Genomic DNA, 23,168 nt, shown 5'->3' with positions numbered 1-23,168 from the left:
TCTGTCCCAGGATATCTTTTATTTAAAAGTAAGGTAACTGGGACTTTTTTTTTTTCCAAAAGGATCTTGTTTTAAGAAGACAGTTATTTTGTAATTAATGTCTGGGCTTCCTATTCTTTCCTGTAAGAATTAGTCATATGATTTATATTTTCATTTTTCATTATCCTTACTAGTCTTTTAGTAGTTTTGCAATACAGAAAATAGAAATAGAGTTATCAAAGTGGTAGTAATGAGTAAGATTTGATCACACATGTCAAATGCCTGAGGCATTTTATTTATTTTTATTTTTTCTGTCGCCATGGCAGAACAGAATGCCTGAGGTATATAATAAAATTCACAAATGTATCCTTTTTCCTCCCAGATATGTCTAGTTAAGTTTCTGAACAGTATGTGTTTTAAAAGAGGAACTCTAAAGAGAACTTAATATTCAACTATTTTTTGTAGCCGCTTATTCATAATTAGCAAATGAATTCTGAAATACTTTTGTAATTATTGTTCCCTGATGGATTTATTTGCTATGTTAAGAAATAGTATAAGACTTTGGGCATCTATATACCTTTTGTGTTTACTGAATATTTTATATATCTGGATAATTTTTAAAGGTGTCTTTGAATTTAAAGTTACTATGGCAGGTGAGAAGTGAAACACTTCATAAGATGTGATTGACATTTTTCTTTCATACGCTTTGTGAGACATTTATATGAAACATTTACTTTGATGTTTAAAAAACACTGATTGTTTAAAAATAATCTATTTTAATAATCAGAATTGCTTTCATTTAAAAATATTTGTTTATTTGGCCATGATAATCATTTAGAATAGTTAATGTGAAAGTTCACCGTAGACATAGTTGTTTCTCCTTTGTTTTCTTCAGCTCTGAAATGGTTAATTTCATGGTTTCTCACTTAAAATAAAGAAGTAAGAAAAATAAACTTACAGGCTTCTTGGCAAGAGGTTAGAGCCCTACCAGGAAGAAGTAGCCTTAGACTTTCAAAGTAAAGTCTTAGTATTTGCTCTTCCTGTTCTTTTGGTAGCTAAAGTGGCATTTCCGTTACTTTGTGTTCTGTCTTAGTATGTTCCCAGTTAAACTGCTTTATACGTTTCTCTAGAGAATCAAAATTTTGGACTTGACCTTTTAGTATTTTGTATGTTCACTGTGTATGTGAATCATTTTGGGCAGTTAGATAGTTCTTTAAAAGAGAATCTTGATGAACCTAAGCCTTTGTATTAAAAATTATGTTCAGAGTTGTGATTTGTTAGATTATCAGAAAATGAAGGATTTCTCAAGTTATATTATTATCAAGATATATTATATCCCCCACGAAAGTGGTACATTTGTTAAAATTGATGGACCTACATTCAGACATCTTTACCACCCAAAGTCCATGGTTTACATTAGGGTTTTTTTTTTTTTGAGACGGAGTTTCGCTCTTGTTGCCCAGGCTGGAGTGCAGTGGTGCGATCTCAGCTAACTGCAACCTTTGCCTCCTGGGTTCAAGGGATTCTCCTGCCTCAGCCTCCCAAATACCTGGGATTACAGGTGCCCACCACCACGCCCAGCTAAATTTTTGTATTTTTGATAGAGATGGGGCTTCACCATGTTGGCCAGGCTGGTCTCGAGCTCCTGACCTCAGGTGATCCACCCACCTCGGCCTCCCAAAGTGTTGGGATTACAGGCGTGAGCCACTGCGCCCGGCCAAGGTTTACTCTTGCTGTTTGTATGTTCTATGGGTTTGGCCAATTGTATGGCACATATCCACTGTTGTAGCGGTACAATGTTTATCTGCCCTGAAATACTCTGTGCTCCCCCTCGCCATCCCTTCTCTTCCCCAGCCACTGGCAACCACTATTTTTTGTTAACTGTCTCCATAGTTTTGCCTTTTCAAGATGTCATAGTTGGAATCATACAGTCTATAGCCTTTTCAGATTTTCTTTTTTCACGTACTAATATGCGTTTACGATTTCCTCAATGGCTTTTCACGGTTTGACAGCTTTTTTTTTTCTTTTGCACTTGACTATTCTATTATCTGGATATACCCGGGTTTATTTGTCCATTTACTTACTGAAGGACATCTTGGTTGCTCCCTAGTTTTGGCAATCGTGAATAAAGCTGCTATAAACATCAAACATCTGTGTGCGTGTCTTTTGTGTGGACATAAGTTTTCAGTTCGTTTGGGTAAATAGCAAGGAACACAGTTGCTGGATCATATGGTAAGAATACCTTTAGTTTTGCAAGAAACCTCTAAACTGTCTTTCAAAGTGATGGTACCATTTTATATTCCCACCAGTAATGAATGGGAGTTTCTGTTCACATTCTCACCAGCATTTGATATTGTCACTGTTAATGGGTTTTGGCCATTCTAATAGGTGTGTAGTGGTATTGTTTTAATTTGCATTTTCCTGATTATGTGACTTTTTTTCATATGCATACTCGCCATCTTTATATCTTCTTTAGTGAGGTGTCCGTTAAGGTCATTGTCCTGTTCTTAAAGTCAGGTTCTTTGTTTTCTTATTGTTGAGGTTTGAGAGTTGTTTATTTTGAATAACAGTCCTTTATCAAATGTGTCTTTTCTTTTCTTTTTTTTTTTTTTTTTTTTTTTTTGAGATGGAGTCTTGCTCTGTCTCCCGGGCTGGAGTGCAATGGGGCCATCTCATCTCACTGTAAGCTCTGTCTCCCAGGGGTTCAAGTGATTCTTCTGCCTCAGCCTCGCAAGTAGCTGGGATTACAGGTGTCTACCATCATGCCTGGCTAATTTTTGTATTTTTAGTAGAGATGGCGTTTGACCATATTAGCCAGGCTGGTCTTGAACTCCTCATCTCAGGTGATCCGCCTGCTTCAGCCTCCCAAAGTGTTGGGATTACAGGCATGAGCCACTGAGCCCGGCTATCAAATGTATCTTTTGCAAATATTTTCTCCCAGTCTGTGCCTTGTCTTTTTCATTCTCTTGACAATGCCTTTCACAGAGCAGAAAATTTTAATCTTAATGAAGTCCAGTTTAGCAGTTCTTTCTTTCATGGGTCATGCCTTCATCATTGTATTTAAAAAGTCATCAACAAACTCAAGGTCATCTAGATTGTCTTCTATGTCACCATTTGGGAGCTTTATAATTTTGCATTTTACATTTAGGTCTGTGATCCATTTTGAGTTAATTTTTGTGAGTGTAATGTCTGTCTCCTGATTCATTTTTTTTTTTTTTGCCTGTGGATATCTAGTTGTGCAGTACTATTTGTTGAAAAGATTATCTTTGCTGCATTGTATTGCCTTTCTCCTTTGCTGGCAGTGGTTCTTAAGGTGTGGTCTGGGGACTTTTGGGGGTCCTCAAGACCATTTCAGCAAGTTTGTGAGTTCAAAACTGTTTTCATATACTAAGACATTATTTGCCTTTTCTATTTTTATTCTTTCAAGAACCACTGTACAGTGGAGTTTTCTAGAGGCTGTGTGATGTGTGTGTGATATTGCCATAGGTTGAATGTAGTAGCAGATAATGATAATTCAACTATTTCCTATTAAACCACAAAATAGAGTTTTGCCAAAATGTGAAACAGTGCCACTCTTCTAAATTGTGGGGTTTTTTGAAAATACTGTTATTTTTCAAATGAATTAATGTTGATAAATTTATCAGTTTCAGTTTCTAACAGTAAATATTGGTAGAGAACCCCCACATGAAAGCTCTTGGCTCCTCAATTTTAAAAGTGTGAAGGTTCTGAGACTAAAAAAATGCACCTTTAGGGATGAGTGTGTATTAGAAGGGACAAAAGAGTACTCAAAGAGGAACTAGATCTAAGGGATCCTTTGAATTCTCAAAGTAATTTTGGATTTGATTTTGTAGGTAACAGTGCCTCAACTTTTGGAAGATTTCAAGCAAGAGATGTGGTATCATAATCCCTATGTCCACTTTATGTCCATAAATAGATTGGAAGGAGTGTTCAGTATGACTTGGAAAGGAAACTGCTGGGGCAAAAAAGTCTTAACAATAATATTTAAATTTTTTTCCCAAAGGCCTTAAAAATTAGTTATTAATTGGAACTCTTGATTATTTGTCCTCTCTCTTTTTTTTTTTTATGTCAAAACTATCCTTTTTTGTGAAAGTTAGGCAGGTTAGGTATCAATTGTGCCAAAAGTTCTTGACTACCAAACCGTTAGCCTTTGCACATATGATTCCTTGGACTAAAGACAGGGTCTGGCTCTGTCACCCAAGCTGGAGTGTAGTGTCATGATCATGGCTTACTGTAACTCTGAACTCTTGGGCTCAAGGGATTCTCTTGCCTCAGCCTCCTGAGTAGGTAGGACTACAGGTGTGTGCCACCATGCCCTGCTAAAGAGAAAGGGGTCTCTTTCCTAGGCTGGTCTCGAACTTCTGGCCTTGGCCTCCCAAAGTGCTGGGATTATAAGTGTGAGCCACCATGCTCGGCCTCTTTTAAACTGTCTTTACCTTGCTCCCATTAATATTCACATTTAAGGTAACCGCTTTCATAAAAACATCACTGAATAACTCCCCCTGGTCCTGTCAGTCCAGCATTATTCTCACCATTTATAGAGTTTCAAATATTGTTAAACTGTAGTGGCTATCTTGCTTTTATGTATTTTGGGTTTATGCACATTTCCTCCACAGAATAGGAATTGTTTTCGGTATTGTTCTCTATCTCTTCTCCAAGTACCTAGTCAGCAACCCCCCATGGGTGCTCAGTAAATATTGAATGATTATACTTAACCTCCCTTCATAGCTCAGACTATTCCATGAACAATTTATGGACATAAAAATCTATGCCAGTAGACATTTAAGGATATTTTTTATGGTGACTATGGAAATTGCCTGGTTACAAATTTATATATAGAGTCAGTAACATTGATAAAAACATAACAAATTACTGTTTCATGGAACTCATGAGGCATTAAGAGGCTTATTTAGTTTTGTTTAGATACAAGGTAGTGTCTTCCAAAACATTGTTACTTCAAAATTTTTGTAGCTGCTCCAGTTGAACACTATATTAAAATGCACATTTTTGAGGACATATTCTTGAAATTAGGAATGTAATTTTTAAGAATTAAACAGAGGACCAGAAATAGATCTGAGGAGTTTATCAGAGCTGCTTCCTTGCACAACTCTAGAAGGTGCCTGTCACACCTTTTTGTATGAAAGGTGCCTCCTAGAGTATAACTGTACAGTAGACTCATTTTTGATATAAGAAGGGATAAAGCACACTTAACAGATGATATCAAAATGTAAAAGAAAAGAAGTGTCTGTTTTAGAAGGAAGCTGTATGAGATAATAGGCAAAGGTTAGGGTGGTGGTAGCAATGGTGGTAAAAATAGGATCACTTAATCTAGATTACTTAATCAGTAAGTTGATTCCAGGGGCCAGTGGGAATTGCTGAAAGTTTCATCTGAATACATGGAATTTTTAGCAGTGATTAGGGGAATGGTGCTGGTATTTATAGCCATGAACTTATTACTTGAAAGCATCCTAGGGACCCAAGTCTTAATCAAGGGGCAGTTCTTCCAAGTAGTGGTTGAGGAAGTTGGGTATGCTTTCCAAAACTTCTTTCCTCACTAAAGATTGCAGATATACTCTGTAAGTGACTTCACAGAATATACTCAATTGTCATATTTTAATTTACATGTTTCTTCTGATTATAGGTCCCACGTGATTATAAGTTCTGAGATCAAGGGTCATCTTTGTGGGGGTGTGTGTGTGCACTTAAAATTTTATGTGCTGGTAATAGTTATCTTGTGGATATTTAAGAAATAGGAATGTGTGCCATATTTTAAATACACCTTATATGCAAAAATTTTAATGTAATTTAAGTATATCGCAAAAAATAAATAGCGGGTGGTATTCACACTGCAGAGGATTGGCAAGTCTTTTTAATATACTTCAAACAATTGTTGGCAGAAATCCGCCTCATGCACTGTATTGAATAATTTGAAACATTAGCATTTAACTAATCCAAAGCTAAGATAAAGAGATTTTGAGGTGAGGTGATAAATATATGCGGTTGTCCTTCAGTATCTATAGGGGATTGGTTCCAGGACCTCCCACAGATAAGAAAATCCAAGGGTGCTCAAATCCCTGATGTAAAATGACATTGTTTGCATATAACCTATGCACATCTCCTGAATACTTTAAATCATCTCTAGGTTACTTAAAATGCCTAATACAATATAAGTGCTACATAAACAGTTGTTATACTGTATTGTTTAGGGAATGATGACAAGGAAAAATGTCTGCGCATGTTCAGTAGAGATGCATTTTTTTGGTATATTTTCGATTCATGATTGAATCCATGATAATGGAACCCATTGATATGGAGGGCTAATTGTGTGTACATACACACACACACACATAATTTTTTATTCATTATTTATTTATTTATTTATATGTTTGTTTGTTTTTGAGATGGAGTCTTACTCTGTTGCCCAGGCTGGAGTGCAATGGCACGATCTCAGCTCCTACAACCTCTGCCTCCTGGGTTCAAGCGATTCTCCTGTCTCAGCCTCCCGGGTAGCTGGGATTACAGGCGCGAGCCACCAGGCCCAGCTAATTTTTGTATTTTTAGTAGAGACGGGGTTTCACCATGTTGGTCAGGCTGGTCTCAAACTCCTGACCTCGTGATCCGCCTGCCTCTCGGCCTCCCAAAGTGCTGGGATTGCAGGCGTGAGCCACCGCGCCTGGCCCCACACACATAATTTTCTTTTTTGCAATTATTTATTTTTTTTCCCTTTTAGAGTACACATTTTTTTGCAATTTTAAAATTGAGACATAATCTACATAACATAAAATTCAGTTTTAAAGTAGAGAATTCAGTGTTATTTAGTATGTTCACAGTGTTGTGTGCAACCATCCCCATTATGTAATTCTAGAACATTTTCCATCACCCAAGAAAGAGATCCTGTATCTGTTAACGGTCACTCCTAAGCTCTCCTCGGCCCCCCTGCAACCATTAATCCACTTTCTATCTATGAATTTTTCTGTTCTGTACATTTCGTATTAATGGAGTCATACAATATGTGGCCTTTTGTGCCTGGCTTCTTTCAGTTATAATGTTTTAAAGGTTTGTCCTTGTAGCACATATCAGTACTTTATTCATTTTTATAGGTGAGTAATACTCCCTTGTATAGTTACCCACATTTCATTTATACCTTCATTAGTTGGTGGACATTTGGGTTGTTTAGCCATTTGGGCTGTGAAGAATAGTACTGCTATGAACATTCACATACAAGTTTTCGTGTGAACATATTTTCAGTTCTCTTAGGTATATATCTAGGAGTAAAATTACTGGGTTATATGGTAATTCTGTGTAACTTTTTGAGGAACTACCAAACTGTTTTCCACATCAGTGACACTGTTTTACATTCCCATCAGCAATGTATGAAGATTCCTGTTTCTCCTCTACTTTCTTGCCAAACTTGTTATTTTCAGGATTTTAGTTTTATGATTTTTAAAAAATAGTCATCCTAGTGGGTGTGAAGTGTTATGTCATTGTGATTTTGGTTTCCATTTCCCTAGTGGTTAATGCTGTTTAGCATTTCTTTATGTGGTTATTGACTATTTGTATATCTTTGGGAAAATATCTATTCAAGGTCTTTTGCCTGTTTTAAAATTTGATCTTTATGTATTCTGGATACCAGAAGAGTACTTTACATACCTCACATACTAGATCTTTATATGATTTGTAATTTTTTTCCCCATTCTGTGGCTTGGCTTGTCACTTTCTTGATACAATGTCTTTTAATGCACAAAAGTTTTAAATTTTCAAGTCTAATTTTTCAAGGGTTTTTTCTTTTTTTTTTTTTTTAAAGACAGAGTCTTGTTCTGTCACCCAGGCTAGAGTGCAGTGGTGTGATCTTGGCTCACTGCAACTTCGCCTCCCAGGTTCAAGTGATCCTCCCACCTTAGCCTCCCGAGTAGCTGGGACTACAGGCATGTGCCACCATGCTGGCTAAGTTTTTGTATTTTTAGTAGAGACAGGGTTTTTCCATGTTGGCCAGGCTGGTCTTGAACTCCTGACCTCAAGCGATCTACCTGCCTCGGCCTCCCAAAATGCTGGGATTATAGACGTGAGCCATCACACTCTCACCCAGCCTCTGATTTTTTCGATTGTGCTTTCGATATATCTAAGAAATCATTGGCTGATTCAAGGTTATGCACCTTTACAACTCTAAGAGTTTTAGGAAGAAATTTTAGCTCTTAGATTTAAGATTGATCAATTTTGAGTTAACTTTTGTATATGGTATGAAGAAACACATTTGTATTAAGGAAAACCAAAGATATTTGGGTTTTTAATCTTTTGAAGTTGACATGGAATACAACTCTACTACCTCTGTGTAATGTGGAAATGGAATTGTGCAGGAGAAAAATGTTACTTGATGGCAATCTCCATGACTACTGGGTATAGTTTGGTGATGGATAACTGGAATTATTTGGGTCATTCTTTCAGCTGGATAAACCACTTAATCTGATCCAGTTTATATTTTTTACATTTTCAGAATAGTCTTAGATATATGAAGAAGGTAACAAATAGTTGCATGACTATCAATAAGTTGTTTTGGTCCACAAATAATAGTGTCATTGTATGTTTCCATGGTATCTTTTTTTTTTTTTTTGAGACGGAGTTTTGCTCTTGTCCAGGCTGGAGTGCAGTGGCACGATCTAGGCTCACTGCAACCTCCGCCTCCTGAGTTCAAGCGATTCTCCTGCCTTAGCCTCTCAAGTAGCTGGGATTACAGACGTGTGCCACCACGCCTGGCTAATTTTGTATTTTAGTAGAGACGGGGGTTTCACCATGTTGTCCAGGCTGGTCTCAAACTACTGACCTCAGGTGATCCACCCATCTCAGCCTCCCACAGTGTTGAGATTACAGGCATTAGCCACCACCCCCAGCCAGCAAGCAATTTTTTAAAGGTAGATTTTTGCCAACATTTAAAAAAAATCATATTTTTTTTGGAGTGCTAAGGAAAAATGGTGACAGTCCAGAAAATATTATAAAGATGAGTGGGCCAGGCACAGTGGCTCACGCCTGTAATCCCAGCACTTTGGGAGGCCAAGGTGGATGGATAACCTGTGGTCAGGAGTTCAAGACCAGCCTGACCAACATGGAGAAACCCCACAGCCTGAGCAACAAGAGTGAAACTCCGTCTCAAAAAGAAAAAATGAGTGACACTTGATTCTTACCTTAAAAGGAGCCTGAGATCTAATAGTGTAAAATGTGCAAACTAATAATTGATTATAATACATTAAGGTAAATGCATAATAAATTTTTACATAAAGATCAAAGTAGGAGAGAGTAATTAACTTTGAAGGAGGTTAGTAAAGACCTCACAGAGGGGAGGTAACAGGAACTTTAAGGATGAATGGTGATTTGCAGATGATAAGCAGTGACATGGGGCAAAAAAGCGCTTTATGGTGTGTTTGTGGGAAACTGAATAGTTTTGTGTGGTAGAATGCAAAGTGTTAATGGGAGTAAGGGGAGATGAGGCTGGAGAGGGAGCTCTTAAAGGAGCAGGACTTGTCTTGATAAACTCTGGGCTCTTCAGTGCCATCCTCCGTCTTCATTTTAGAGCCCTCCTTTCTCCCATTTATTAGCTGCTTCCCTAGCTTTAGATACCAGTGCTGTGAAACTAGCAATGTATTTTTTCCTTTTCACACATAGTTTGTAGTGAGGTTGTTGAGAAAGACAGGAAAGAAGGAATGCATGATTCTGTTGGCACATGTGCAGGGGGCTAAATATACCTTGCCACCCAAAATTGGACCTCCGAATGTTGTTATACATAGTGTTTGGCTCTCCAAATAAGTAAAATCAGGCATACTGTGAACTCATGGCTTTTGTGGGCTTGTCTGGGAATTGAGCTTTTATTGAGTTCCAAATTTATGAATGAACTTAACACAAACTATCTTATTGGGTGATAGTATGAATAAATAAGATTTGTTAAATCAGTTTGAAGTCAGTAAGAATCTTCGTGGCCTGTTTGATTTAATTAGTGACTTTTATATATCTGAAAATGATATATTGTCACTTGTGCATTTTTAAAGCTGGATTTCTACCAAACAAGGCTTTGTTAGTCTTGGATGGGTGCTTTGGCTCATCCCTGTAATTCCAGAACTTTGGGAGGCCGAGGTGGGCAGATTGCTTGAGTCCAGGAGTTTGAGACCAGCCTGGGTGACATAGTGAAATCCCATCTCTACTGAAAATATAAAAATTATTTGGGCATGGTGGCACACACCTGTAGTCCCAGCTACTTGTAATGCTGAAGCGGGAGGATCACTTGAGCCCAGGAGGCAGAGGTTATAGTGAGCCGAGATCATGCCACTGTACTCCAGCCTTGGTGACAGTGAGACCCTGTCTCAAAAAAAAGACTTTATTCGTCTTAAGGAAATTAATATGCTCATTAGCATTACATATTGAGTCTTGTTAAAATAAAACTTTAGACAAATTAAATTTGGCAGTTAATTTGAGCAAAGAAACAATTCATGAATTGAGCAGCACCCTGAAGGAGTAAAGGTTCAGAGAGTTCCACCCAGCAATGTGGATAGTCAGGATTTATAGACAGAAAAAGAAGTGACATCCAGACATAGTCTGATTGGTTACAGGTCCACGTTTGTGTCCACGTTTGCCTTATTTGGACATGTCTGAGCAGCTTGCCGCTTGTGATTGGCAGAACGCTTAGCCTCGTTACAAGAATATACTCGAGTTAGGTTGCAGTTTTAACATACTGAGGTGCAGTTCCCTGCTTATGGAAGCAGCTTTAGGCCAAATTTAATTAACAGTGTCACTATTCAGGTTGTGTTGAGATTATTGTGAAACACTAATCTGTCCTCAGTCTAGTAGGGTAGATGACGTATGCAGATAGCTGTATTGCCAGACAATGTGAGATAAGTACAGATCAAATGATGTTAAAAATCAGATAAGAGAGATACTGCTTTTGATAAGGGAAGATAACTGGACCTTAAATGATAAGTTATTAGGAACACTAGGCATTTCAGGTGGAGGAAAGAGCATGAGCAAACATTTGTAGACAGGAAGCTGAAATTGTGTTTGAGGAACAAAGAGATTTGTAAATGGGGTGCTTTTGGACTGTGAGAGGGACAGGTTGGGTGCAATGAGAAATACAGTCGGAGCAATTGTCTGAGGCTAGATTGTGAAGGGAGTATGACTTTTAATTATATGACCTTTAGATATAGCTTTTTGGCTACTGTAGGTCAAGTTGGACCATAGTTAGAGCCAATTTTTCAAAATTACACTTTATCTGTAGTTTCTGCTGCCAGTGTGAAAACAGGAAAGGCAAGGAGTTTTGCTGATCTGGAAGCTGAGATGAGATTTTGCTGCTTCAAGTTTTTGTATTAACTTTATTATAGAATGAATGAATGGTGGCAATTACTGAGGTTTGGGGATTTCCGAGTCTCTAGATTGCACAGGAATCATTGAAGAAGTCTTCTCAACAGAAATAATGTAAACCTAACTTTGATCTGAAGGAAGAAATTTTATAAAAGAAAGGAAACTTTCAGTCTTCAGGGATTCACAAAGTCTGATAAAAATTGGTGTATTAGTCTATTCTCGTGCTGCTATGAAGAAACACCCAAGACTGGGTAATTTATAAAGAAAAGAGGTTTAATTGACTCACAGTTCTGCATGGCCAGGGAGACCTCAGGAAACTTACAATTATGGCAGAAAGGGAAGCAAACATGTCCTTTCTCACATGATGGCAGGAGAGAGAAGTGCCCCTTATAAAACCATCAGATCTCATGAGAACTCACTCACTATCATGAGAACAGCATGGGAGAAACTGTCGCTATGATTCAGTTATCTCCACCTGGTCCTGTCCTTCACATGGGTATTATTACAACTCAAGGTGAGATTTGGGTAGGGACACAGAGCCAAACCGTTTCAGTTGGTTTAGTTAGGACATACAAAATGGGGAGAATAGCTAACCTTTAAGGAAACCTTTCTATGTCTTGGGCAATTGACATGCATTGTTAACACAATGTTTATACAAACCTATTCATCAGATAGTCTTATTGGCTTTATTTTCCACATACTTAAACCAAAACACTATTAGTAAGAAGACATAGAGAATAAATCTGACATTTAGATGGCGATGAAGAACCTTGACTAGAGGTCAGGCAATCTGAAGGGGAGCTTCTTAGCTCACAGAAAACTTATATGGAATGAGATATAGATAGGAGAGAGCTTTTCTTTGAGGAATATAATTTATGTAAATATGTAAGATTACATTTTGAGATGTCAACTTTCTATACTTTTTTTCTTTTCTTTTTGAGATGGAGTCTCACTCTGTTACGCAGGCTGGAGTGCAGTGTCGCGATGTCAGCTCACTGCAACCTCTGCCTCCCAGGTTCAAGTGATTCTCCTGCTTCAGCCTCCCAAGTAGCTGGGACTGTGAGTGCACGCTACCATGCCTGGCTAATTTTTGTATTTTTAGTAGAGATGGGGTTTCACCATGTTGGCCAGACTGGTCAGGAACTCCTGACTTCAAGTGATCCGCCCACCTCCATCTCCCAAAGTGCTGGGATTACAGGAGTGAGCCACCACTTTATCTTAAGATAAATTTTCCATATGCTTCAAGAGGAGTAAGCTCTAACTGGAATGTAGGGTACTGACCCTAGCTCCATATGACCTCACAAAAATCTGTTACTAAAATAGTTTATTTTCTAAATTACCTTCTTACTCTGTTATTCTGTGATGCTATAATTGTGCTCCTTTAGCTTTTTTTGTTGTAGGCTTGGTCCTTTGGAAACGAATACCAGAAACAGTTTCTCTCTGAGCCTTTGCTTCATTCTCCATCAGAGTATTCTGTCCCATTTACTACTATATCATTATTTGAAAAACAGTTTGAATTTGCATATCTTATTATCATTGGTAGGAATAGGTGGCATTGTCTTATGTGATTCTTGTTTTAGGAGGAAATGGGCAACAAAAATGTGAATTTTCAGCTGGGTGTGTTGGTGCATCCTTGTAGTCCCAGCTACTCAGGTGACTGAGGTGGCAGTATTTCTTGAGGCCAGTAGTTTGAGGCCACCTTGTACAACATAGCGAGACCACATCACATAAAAAATAATAACAATAAATAATTTTTTTCCAGTGTGTATCTTGGATGTAAAAAAAAGGGAGTTTCTTTCTACCTTTATTAAAAATTGTCTTATATGTGTTGCCTGTTGTTCATATTGGGGGATCAGCTGAGGGTGTGTAAGGAGCATCACTAATCCATCACCATTTATGTTCTACCACAGTGACATAATCTTAAAATTATTAAGTGATGAATTGATGGATAATTGCTTCACCTTATTTTTATCTCTTCATTTTAATTCTTCAGAAACACAGAAATGTAAACATTATTATTGTTGCCAGGATCCTTAATTTAATTTGCATGATGGAAGGACTGTGTTTCTTAAATTATATGAATGCTGTGTATATGTATTGTAGAATGGGGAATTGCATGTATCTGTTTAATATTAGAAATCTGTAATAGGTCAAGGCTGCATCAGTTTTTGTGGCTGTAATTGCTTGCACATTTTTGGCTTATAAACTTTTGTGTACCAGTGACAACCATTAAGAGCCAGAAAAGTTTGCTTTTACTTGCAGTACATGTACATCTAGTTTTGAGTTATTTGTCAAAAAAGGGTGAACTTTCTTTTTGGCTTTTTTTTTGGGGGGGCCTTTTGTGACTTGAAATTAAGCAACTTACTGATATAGTTTTTTTTTTTTTTTTTTTTTGAGACAGAGTCTTGCTCTGTTGCCCAGGCTGGAGTGCAGTGGCGCGATCTCTGCTCACTGCAACCTCCGCCTCCTGGGTTCAAGGAGTTATCCTGCCTTAGCCTCCTGAGTAGCTGGGATTATAGGCTCTCATCACTACGCCTGGCTAATTTTTGTATTTTATTTTTAGTAGAGATGGGGTTTTGCCATGTTGGCCAGGCTGGTTGTGAACTCCTGACTTCAGGTGATCCACCCACGTTGACCTCCTAAAGTGCTGGGATCACAGGCGTGAGCCACCTCACCTGGCCTGATGTAGTTTAGAATAATCTTTAGTTGTGTCCAATATGTAGTTTTACCTAGCAAACTCGTTTTAATTGTTGGTACCTTTTTTTTTTTTTAACTTCTCTAAGTTCATCTACCTTCAGATTGCATCTTTGGAAGGGGATGGGCAGAATTTTGGAAGGTAGCAGTTCTCTTAGATGAATAGAAAAGAGGCCAGGCATGGTGGCTCACGCCTGTAACCCCTGCACTTTGGGAGGCCAAGGCAGGTGGATCACCTGAGGTCAGGAGTTTGAGACCAGCCTGGCCAATATGATGAAACCCCGAGATTGCGCCACTGCACTCCAGCCTGGGTGACAGAGTGAGACTCTTTCTCAGGGAAAAGGAAAAAAAAAGGGAAAATAAAAGAAAATGAATTTCTCCAATTAACAGTTACTGGCTTTATTTCAGGCGAGCTGTCATGGGGGAATTTGTCTGGTTTTGAGATATAAGATCAGTGTGAAGATTTATTGATACATACAAAATGGAGTGGGTTGCTCTGCAATGAATTTGTGTGTTAAAACTGAATATCAAAGATAAAATAAGTTAACTGGATAGTTGCATTTGATCTTTTGGTATGGAACCGGAGTAAAGATCTGATTTATGTTTTTTTTTGTTTGTTTTTTTGAGACAGTCTTGCTTTGTCACCCAGGCTGCAGTGCAGTGGCACAATCTCAGCTCACTGCACTGGGTTCCAGTGATTCTCATGCCTCAGCCTCCCAAGTAGTTGGGATTATAGGTGTGCACCCACCGTGCCTGACTAATTTTTGTATTTTTAGTAGAGACGGGCTTTTGCCATGTTGGTCAGGCTGGTCTGGAACTCCTAGCCTCATGTGATCCACCCGCCTTGGTCTTCCAAAGTGCTGGGATTACAGGTGGGAGCCACCGCACCCGGCCCTCTGATTTGTTCTTTACGTGGTCACTTTGCCTCCCATTTTCAGAATTGGAAGATATACCCACATTATCCTTATTCCCATTTGTACATTTCCTTATTGAAGTAAAACCAGCTGTTTAATGACTGAAAAGTTACAGTTTAGCAGGCAGTAATTTTTTTTTTTTTTTTTTTTTTTGAGACGGAGTTTCACTCTTACTCCCCAGGAGGCTGAAGTGCAGTGGTGCTATATCTTGGCTCACCGCAACCTCTGCCTCCCAGGTTCAAGCGATTCTCCTGCCTCAGCCTCCCGAGTAGCTGAGATTACAGGCATGCGCCACCACGCCCGGCTAATTTTTGTATTTTTAGTAGAGCTGGGATTTCACCATGTTGGCCAGGATGGTCTCGACCTCCTGATGTTGTGATCTGCCCGCCTCAGCCCCCCAAAGTGCTGGGATTACAGGTGTGAGCCACTGCACCCGGCCTATTTTTCTTTTATTAACATTAGCTTTAGTAATTTTTCTTCACAGAACTATGTATTTGTGTATTTGTTGTCAGGTTTGGAATTTGTGTTGGCTATCAATTTAATATAAAGTCTTAGACTTTATAGAGTATAAACCCTCATTTATTTTTGTTCATCGTATTCTTGCAAAATACTGTTTTGACTTGGTGACCTAGAGTGGATCAAGGCACTATCTTCAAGTGGTTTCTGTAGTAGCCTAACCTAGAAACACTGCCTGACATAGCTGAGTGGCAATGAAAAACAGCCATAGGTACTAACTTAAAAATTAGCTATAGAATTGCAACTGGCAGCTAAGTTAGAAAGCTATTTATAGAGCAGCTTGGGATACTAAGATACTCCTTGACTGCATGAAGGTGCAGTGCAAGGAGAGAACCATTGCTTCGCATCAGGAGATTGGAAACCTTTTTTTTTTGAGACGGAGTTTTGGCCTTGTTGCCCAGGCTGGAGTGCAGTGGCGGGATCTCGGCTCACTGCAGCCTCTGCCTCCCGAGTTCAGGAGATTCTCCTGCGTCAGCCTCCCAAGTAGCTGGGATTACAGGTGCCCGCCACCATGCCCGGCTAATTTTTTATATTTTTAGTAGAGACGAGGTTTCACCATGTTGGCCAGGCTGGTCTCAAACTCCTGACCTCAGGTGATCTGCCCGCCTCAGCCTCCCAAAGTGCTGGTATTACGAGTGTGAGCCACTGCACCCAGCCGGAAACGTTTTAAGAGAGAAACTTACTAATAAGTTGCTTCCTGTCCTTGGGCTTATAGACTTAATCTAGAATTGATTTTTCTTTGACTTTCTTCATCAGAGTTATATTTTCATAACTTAATGACTAACCAAGAATGTGTTATAACTGTTGAGGCCCCTTTTAACGTAGTTTACCCCTTCTGCTATTACTTAGAATTGATAGTAATTACATCTCTAGGGCAAAAGATGACTGGAAAATTGCTTTGTGTTCTTCTCATGTAACATCATATAAGACCTGTTCACCTAAAATCTAGTGAGTTGATTTAGTTTGTTCTCTGACATTCTTGGCTTCTTTAAACTTGCTTATAAATTAAGGCTTGCAGTTTGAGTCATTTGGAAATGGGCAATGCCCAGAACTTTCGCAACTTGTGAACTTGAGTTGAATAATGTGTCGCTTTCCTCATAGTCTGTCAACTTTAGTTCATTGTAGCCACAAAGAAGATGATTATGCCAATGAGGATTATACTAAACCAGACAAGAGGTGGCCTACTGTGTATACTAGGAATTAGATTTGTGAGAACTAAACACAACACTGAATTTGTGAAAATGTGTGCAGTTTAGAGTAATTAGAGAAAATGATAAGTCTCACTCAGACCACATGGAAATGGGGGTAGAGTGTGTGTGTGTTGTGGATGTGTGTCTTCATCTATCCTGCTAGTGGAAAGGTTACTGTTTGAAAAATGTAGTTCCAACACAGCCACTAGTTTGTGCTACTTTAGACAAGTATTTAAATCTTTGCAATAGAGATATTATAATAGAGCATTCCTTGCCTTGGCACAAGGCTGTTGTTAAATTGGAAGACTAAGGATATGAAAGAATTTTGTAATGTATAAAGAAATCTTGGCCAAGCACGGTGGCTCATGCCTGTAATCCCAACACTTTGGGAGGCCAAAGTGGGAGGATCACTTAAGGCCAGGAGTTTGAGACCAGCCTGGGCAACATAGTGAGACCTTGTATCTACAGAAAATTTAAAAATTGGCTGCATGTGCTGGCATGTACCTGTAGTCCCAGCTACTCCAGTCTGGGTGACAGAGTAAGACCCTGTCTTTATTAAGAAAGAAAGAAATCATATGTGCATTATAAAGATTTTGCCACTCTTAAGATTGAGTGCAAGGATCTATGGTAACACTTCCCAGTTGATGAAGAAATTGGGCATTAGATAATGAAGGTTTTGCAGCAGTAATTGAGTTTGAGCTATTTTCATGACAGTGTATTGGAAAGGTGATAGAGGAGTTGTCTCCTAAAATGAGGGAAAACATCAATACAAAATGATGGTAAGAAAGAAATGAAAATATTTGTAATGATGCTTTAAAGCTTTAGGGTACTTTTAAAATACCCTAAATATATCACCTTACTAAGCCAAGATGTTGTGAAAATTAAGTATTAGTCCTATTTTTTAAATGTTGAAATGGAAACTGAGTGACTAATTAACATGCCTGAAATCACAATGGTGAATCATGAATCTCGAATTTGATTCTAGATTTTTTTTGCTCATTCTGATGTGTTGGTTAGTCTTGTTATAGTACAGTTGTAGCACATGGAAATGGATGGGACCATGCATGGAAGCCAGAGAGTCTAGAGCAGAACTTCAGTGATGGCAAATTAAAATCTTCATTATCAGTATTTGAAGCAGATATTGAAAATGAATAGCTCTTAGGACAGACTATCAAATAAATGTGAGCCAGAAGATTTTTAATGGGAGAAATTAACTTTAATGAAATATCTTGTAGAAAGAGTTAAAAACAAGATACCTGCCAATCCCAGTCACTCTGGAGAGTATCTAATGTAGCAATGAAAGTAAAAACTAGTTAACATTCTCCAGTGTTTGTCAAGTTTAGGAAGAGATTAACTTGAAAAGCTGTGGTTGGGTAGAAGGTTTATTTGAAGATCGTTTGGCATCATAGCAAAAAAAAGTTGGTGAAAGATTGGTACTGTAGAATGATGGGAGAAAGATGATTAAATTTCCCTTCCTACTTGTCTAGACCACTTAAAATGTATATTACTTTCTCACACAAGCCAGGATAAAGATACACTCTTTAAGAAATTTAGGAGACTCTTCATATATCCATTCATAGATAGAATGTGGTTTTGAAAATAAATGGGATATTGTATAAATATAGATCTATATAAAATTTTATAATTCCTTTTAAGAAAGACATTTGTCAGGAAGTAAAATTGTCAGACTTTTTAGTGCTGAGAAATAGGAAATAGGTGAATGTGGGTTATATGGAGTCTTTTTTTTTTTTTTTTTTTTTTTTTTGAATTTCAAGACAGGGTCTCACTATGTTGCCTAGGCTGGAGTTCAGTGGCTATTCACAGTTGTCATCATTGCATACTACAGCCTCAAACTCTTGGGCTGAAGTGATCCACCCACCTCAACCTCCTGAGTGGCTGGGACTACAGGTGCATACCACTGTACCCTTCTAGGAATCTTATAAGAACAGGTGTATGGTTATGAGGTGTATGAGGATAGAGATATTTTTTGTCCTGGTGATTATTTCTTCTTGTAGAATAATCCTGGTGATTTTTCCTTCTTGTAGAAACTTAAAGGCGTAATATTAAACTTATTAGGAAAAATAACTCTGGCTTTATTTTGTAGTGATTTATTAATGGCTTTATTTTATAGTGATATATTAATAATGTATTAAAATTGCTCATATTTTCCACTTAGAGAGTATTATTTCAAAATTTAAAGCCATGTAGATAGGTTATTATTTGGTGCTACATCCGCCATTACTGCAGTTGGTTTCCAGCAGTTTGAAAAATGATTTTTCAGAAATGGCTTTCACTTGTTACTCAGTGGCTTACAGCAACGGTCCCCAACCTTTTTGGCACCAAGGAGTGGTTTCATGGAAGACAGTTTTTCCACAGACTGGCAGGGGGTGTGTGGAGGGATGGTTTCGGGATGAAACTGTTCCACCTCGATCATAGGCATTAGATTCTCATAAGGAGTGCACAGCCTAGATCCCTTGCATGTGCAGTTCACAATAGGGGTCGCGCTCCTATGAGAATCTAATGCCCCTGCTGATCTGATAGGAGGCAGAGCTCAGGCAGTAATGCTTCCTAGCTCACCAGCTACTGTGTGGCCCAGTTCCTAACAGGTCATGAGCCAGTAATGGTCCACGGCCTGGGGGTTGGGAACCCCTGGCTTACAGGGTCTTCACATGCTTACTAGCTACAGTTACGTCACTTAATCGTGTAATAAATGGCTCGTGTAATTTTGAGTCACTTAAAGTGATCAGATTGTTTTAATTGTGAAGCATGTGAATAAATAAATGAGATTTCCACCGTCTGGTACTATATACGTAAAACTAGAGGCTTTGCAAAATTACCAAGAGACGATCCCGTTTGATGTGTCTTTGGTTTGGCACAGGTGGAGCAGACATGTGAGATATAGAATGAATGGGAGGCCTTCACACTTACTCACTATGTGGAAGGTGGTAGTTGATCATGATGGTCAGTTCCATAGGCCTCCAGGCCACTGGTGACACACTACCACTGTTGCCATAATTCTTAAAAGTCATTTTATGTGGGGCTCCTTCCTAGCAACCTCCCTCAAACACATAGCTCCATCCCTTCCAAGAGCTAAGAAATTTTTAGCACTTGCCACCATCTATTTGTTCATTTGTTTACTGATTACATTCCTCCCATTAGTATATAAGCTCCGTGATAATAGAAACTTTGTCCACTATTGTATATTTCTAACTCCTAAGACACTATTGGCGTATTATAGTATGCAGTTAATACTAGAATAAATGGGATTTCTGTTTGTTCTTACTGAGGTTTGCAAAGCTTCATGAAAGTGGAATATAAAGATTCTCGTTGTTCTGTGTGCATTGGGGACATGGAACGGAACTTGTGTTTTCTGAGTGAGGGAGCCTCTGGCAGAGAGTCTAACTGCAATCCATTATTCCCTGTGACTGGGCAGAATTTAAAAATTTTTAAGAGAAGAGATGAAAAATCTTCTGGATTCCTACTTAATTTAGACATGGGTTTGGCTCTTAACGAAAAACTTTAACCTACCTACAGGGAAGGCTTTTTCGCTGTTACCCTTACTTCTGTCTCCTGGATCTTATGAGTGGAGAAATGAGCCTTTGTTTCACTTACAAATCCACAAATATTTATGCTGTCATATGAACACATGTATAAGGCGCTGTGTCACATTGTGGAAGATACAAAGAGACAGGATTCCTGAGAATTTAACAAAGTTAAGAATGAGTGTTATTAATTAAAACAAAAATGGGACATTTAGGTTATAGTTGAGACCATGTTCTTGTTTTTTAAACGTGAGATGTTTTTGGACACAGAGGTGAAAAATTCTAATGTCTCTAACTCCCCCAGAAGACCTTAGATTGATTTTTCTGAGAAGAAATTTGTGAATGATTTGCATAGAGATTTTCTTTGAGGTTAAGAAATTAGATGAGTTTCCCGGGGTGAAAAAAACAGAAGCAGAGATTATTGTTAAAAATGGTCATGGGTAGAGGGGTTAGAGGGCAAAGTAGGCAGAATAGAAGCATGTTTGTGTTTTAAGGAGGCTAAGAACTAGAATATAGCACTCATAAAAGGAAAATGCAAATGCACTGTGAATAGCTGCTACTGGTAGTGTATTAATTTCTTAGCTACATGTAAACTTTTATTAGTGTGCTTATAACTAAGGTGATGTGTAATATGTCATCCAAACTTGGGTCACTTTTAAGAGTGAAAGGGTGTGCTATCTGAATGGGACCCTGGACAACAGGTGTGAACCAGGACTGTTCCAGCAAAACCAGGACGGTTGGTCATTCCTAACTAATAACGTACTTTTCTCCAGACTTAGTCCCAATTCCTTTAACCTCTCCAGAATTATCTATAAATAATTATAGATATTATACCATAAATGTTTTTTCCTTTATAGTACTCTGATCTGCACTTGCAGAGCCTCTCAGTTGTTGGTTTCTTTTTCCCTGTCTTGTTGGAAAGAAAGGAGAATTTTTCTGCCCCCACTCTGGACCCTGCTTGGGTTCACAGCATTGGTGGAGGTAAGTAGTATTCTCAATGTATTGTTAGTTGACTTTCATTTTGCTTAGGAAATGAGGTTTCTGTATTTTTCTGATCCAGTACTAGATTTTTTTTTTTTTTTGAGAGTCCTGATGATATTTAACTGGGCTAACGAACAGTTAGTAAGTTCTTAGCATGTAATACAAAAAAGTGTTTGTAATTTTGGCATTTGTTCTTAAATTACTTGATACTTAATATGTTTTCTTTCCTATAGGTGGGGTTGTCATTGTGAAATTTAAGATCTTCAAAGAAGAGAATGTAATTTATACCATGAATATGTTATTTTTTCATGTTGGAGCACTGTAATACTTTCAGTTTGTTTTCTTATTGTTTAAATAAAATTTTTAATTCTTATATTAAGTGATGAGTTTTTATTCCATTAAGTAGCTTTTTATTGTCTTGTATTTCTGATAAATTTAAAATTGACATAGAAGTAATAAATCTTTGAGATGGTGCTTACCAAAATATGATTTTCCTCATCCCTTACAGTAATCCTTATTTGGAATCTAGGATGGGCCTAAGGTATCTAGGTTTGAAAATCACCACTTTAGAGTACTAGAATGGAATCCTAAACAATCTCAGATTTAAGAATGTGGTTTACAGATGAGCCTGAATGCATCTGTGTTCTTGCCAGGGTCCTGTTGTTCCTCTGTACAGTCTGCCATCTAGTGGTAGGAATGCAGAGTTTACCAGAATGCCAACGGAAAGCTCTAGGTTTACACTTTCTTATATTAAGAAGGCTTACGTAGTAATTTAAAACATTTTGATAATCAGAGGAGGGGGGAGGAACAACTCTTTCATTTGAAAATACAAGTCAGTGGCAGTGAAGTCAGAGTATTCCAAGAGTATATGTTTTTCTATAGAGCATTTTCATGACTTAAACTTTCCACTTTTGTTCTAAGAGTTTTTGTATTTATGACATTAGTGGGTAAAGAGACAAATGAAAGATAATTTTAAGAGACAGTAGATTAGACTGATCTGAAAAATGTGTTTTCAGTGTTGATTAAAATTTTAGAGCAATTACATAATGACTTCATTTAAAACAATTTAGTTTGCACTTTTAAAATTAAAGTTTGAACAGTTCGGTAAATTTGGCTTGGGTTCAGCCATGACTTAAGAGGCTAAATTTCAGACATATATTAATATATAGTATCTTAGGAGTTTGCTTTGTGTACCCAGTTCTATCTGAATTCTTTCTTCTCTACATATTCCCTTTTCAGTTCCTCATCTTTCCTCTGCCACAAATAAAAAGGATGTCAGTCCTTTCTCTGCCAGGAAAATGCCTTTTAAAAAATCTCTTCTGTGTTCCGTTCTTGAAGTAGAGGCTTTTTATTGAGGTAGTTCATAATATCAGTATAGTGGCAGGAGGAGGAATATGGGGTGGTATAAACTTGAAAAAGCAATTATGCTGCTCTCTAGATTGCTAATATATTTTTTTCCAAATTTGCTGCACTGAAGCTTAGACTAAATAGAATATTGTTGCTTTCTACAGATGTCTTCTAAGTTACATTTCATTTACTAGTATTAATTTAATAAATATTTAAGGTGTATCCTGCTAGGTGCTGGCAATTTGAGGATGAAGAAGTCATGGACTGCCTTTAGTGAGCTCTCTCATAGGAGAGACTGATATATGAGCTAGTAATTGTAATGAAGTGTGAAAAGTGCTGTAACTATTGTATGATGAGTTAAGAGAGTATGAAATTGAAACCAGGGAAAATTTGCTTTCCCCTCCAAAACAATTGCCTGGTCTTTTTGCCATCTCTGAATCCTATACATACAGATTACAATCACCATAATGTATTGTGAGGCTGTATCTTTACCCCCAAAGACCTCAGTTTAGTAGGGGAGAAATTTTGCATCTTCTCAGCTTTGTATATCTAAGTATTTGGCATATACTTAGGTGAATCCATTGTTTATTTGAATTGCATCCGGGTCATTTCCAGCAAAAGGGATAGCTCTGAAAGTGTGTGGCTTCATC

General features: G+C 37.9%; 1 protein-coding gene and 1 long non-coding RNA gene across 32 annotated transcripts in view; both read left to right on the top strand.

Moving 5' to 3' along the window:
- Positions 1-23,168, top strand: part of PICALM (phosphatidylinositol binding clathrin assembly protein) — a 112,686-nt gene that overhangs the window by 5,928 nt on the left and 83,590 nt on the right. The gene's annotated exons all lie outside the window — the stretch shown is intronic.
- On the top strand, positions 57-21,544 carry LOC124902730 (uncharacterized). Its single transcript, XR_007062822.1, has 2 exons — positions 57-21,171; positions 21,405-21,544. It is a non-coding gene; the product is annotated as an uncharacterized LOC124902730 (long non-coding RNA).

This window comes from Homo sapiens, chromosome 11, assembly GCF_000001405.40.
Source record: "Homo sapiens chromosome 11, GRCh38.p14 Primary Assembly".
Classification (NCBI taxonomy): domain Eukaryota; kingdom Metazoa; phylum Chordata; class Mammalia; order Primates; family Hominidae; genus Homo; species Homo sapiens.
This window is presented reverse-complemented; position numbering and strand designations above follow the sequence as displayed.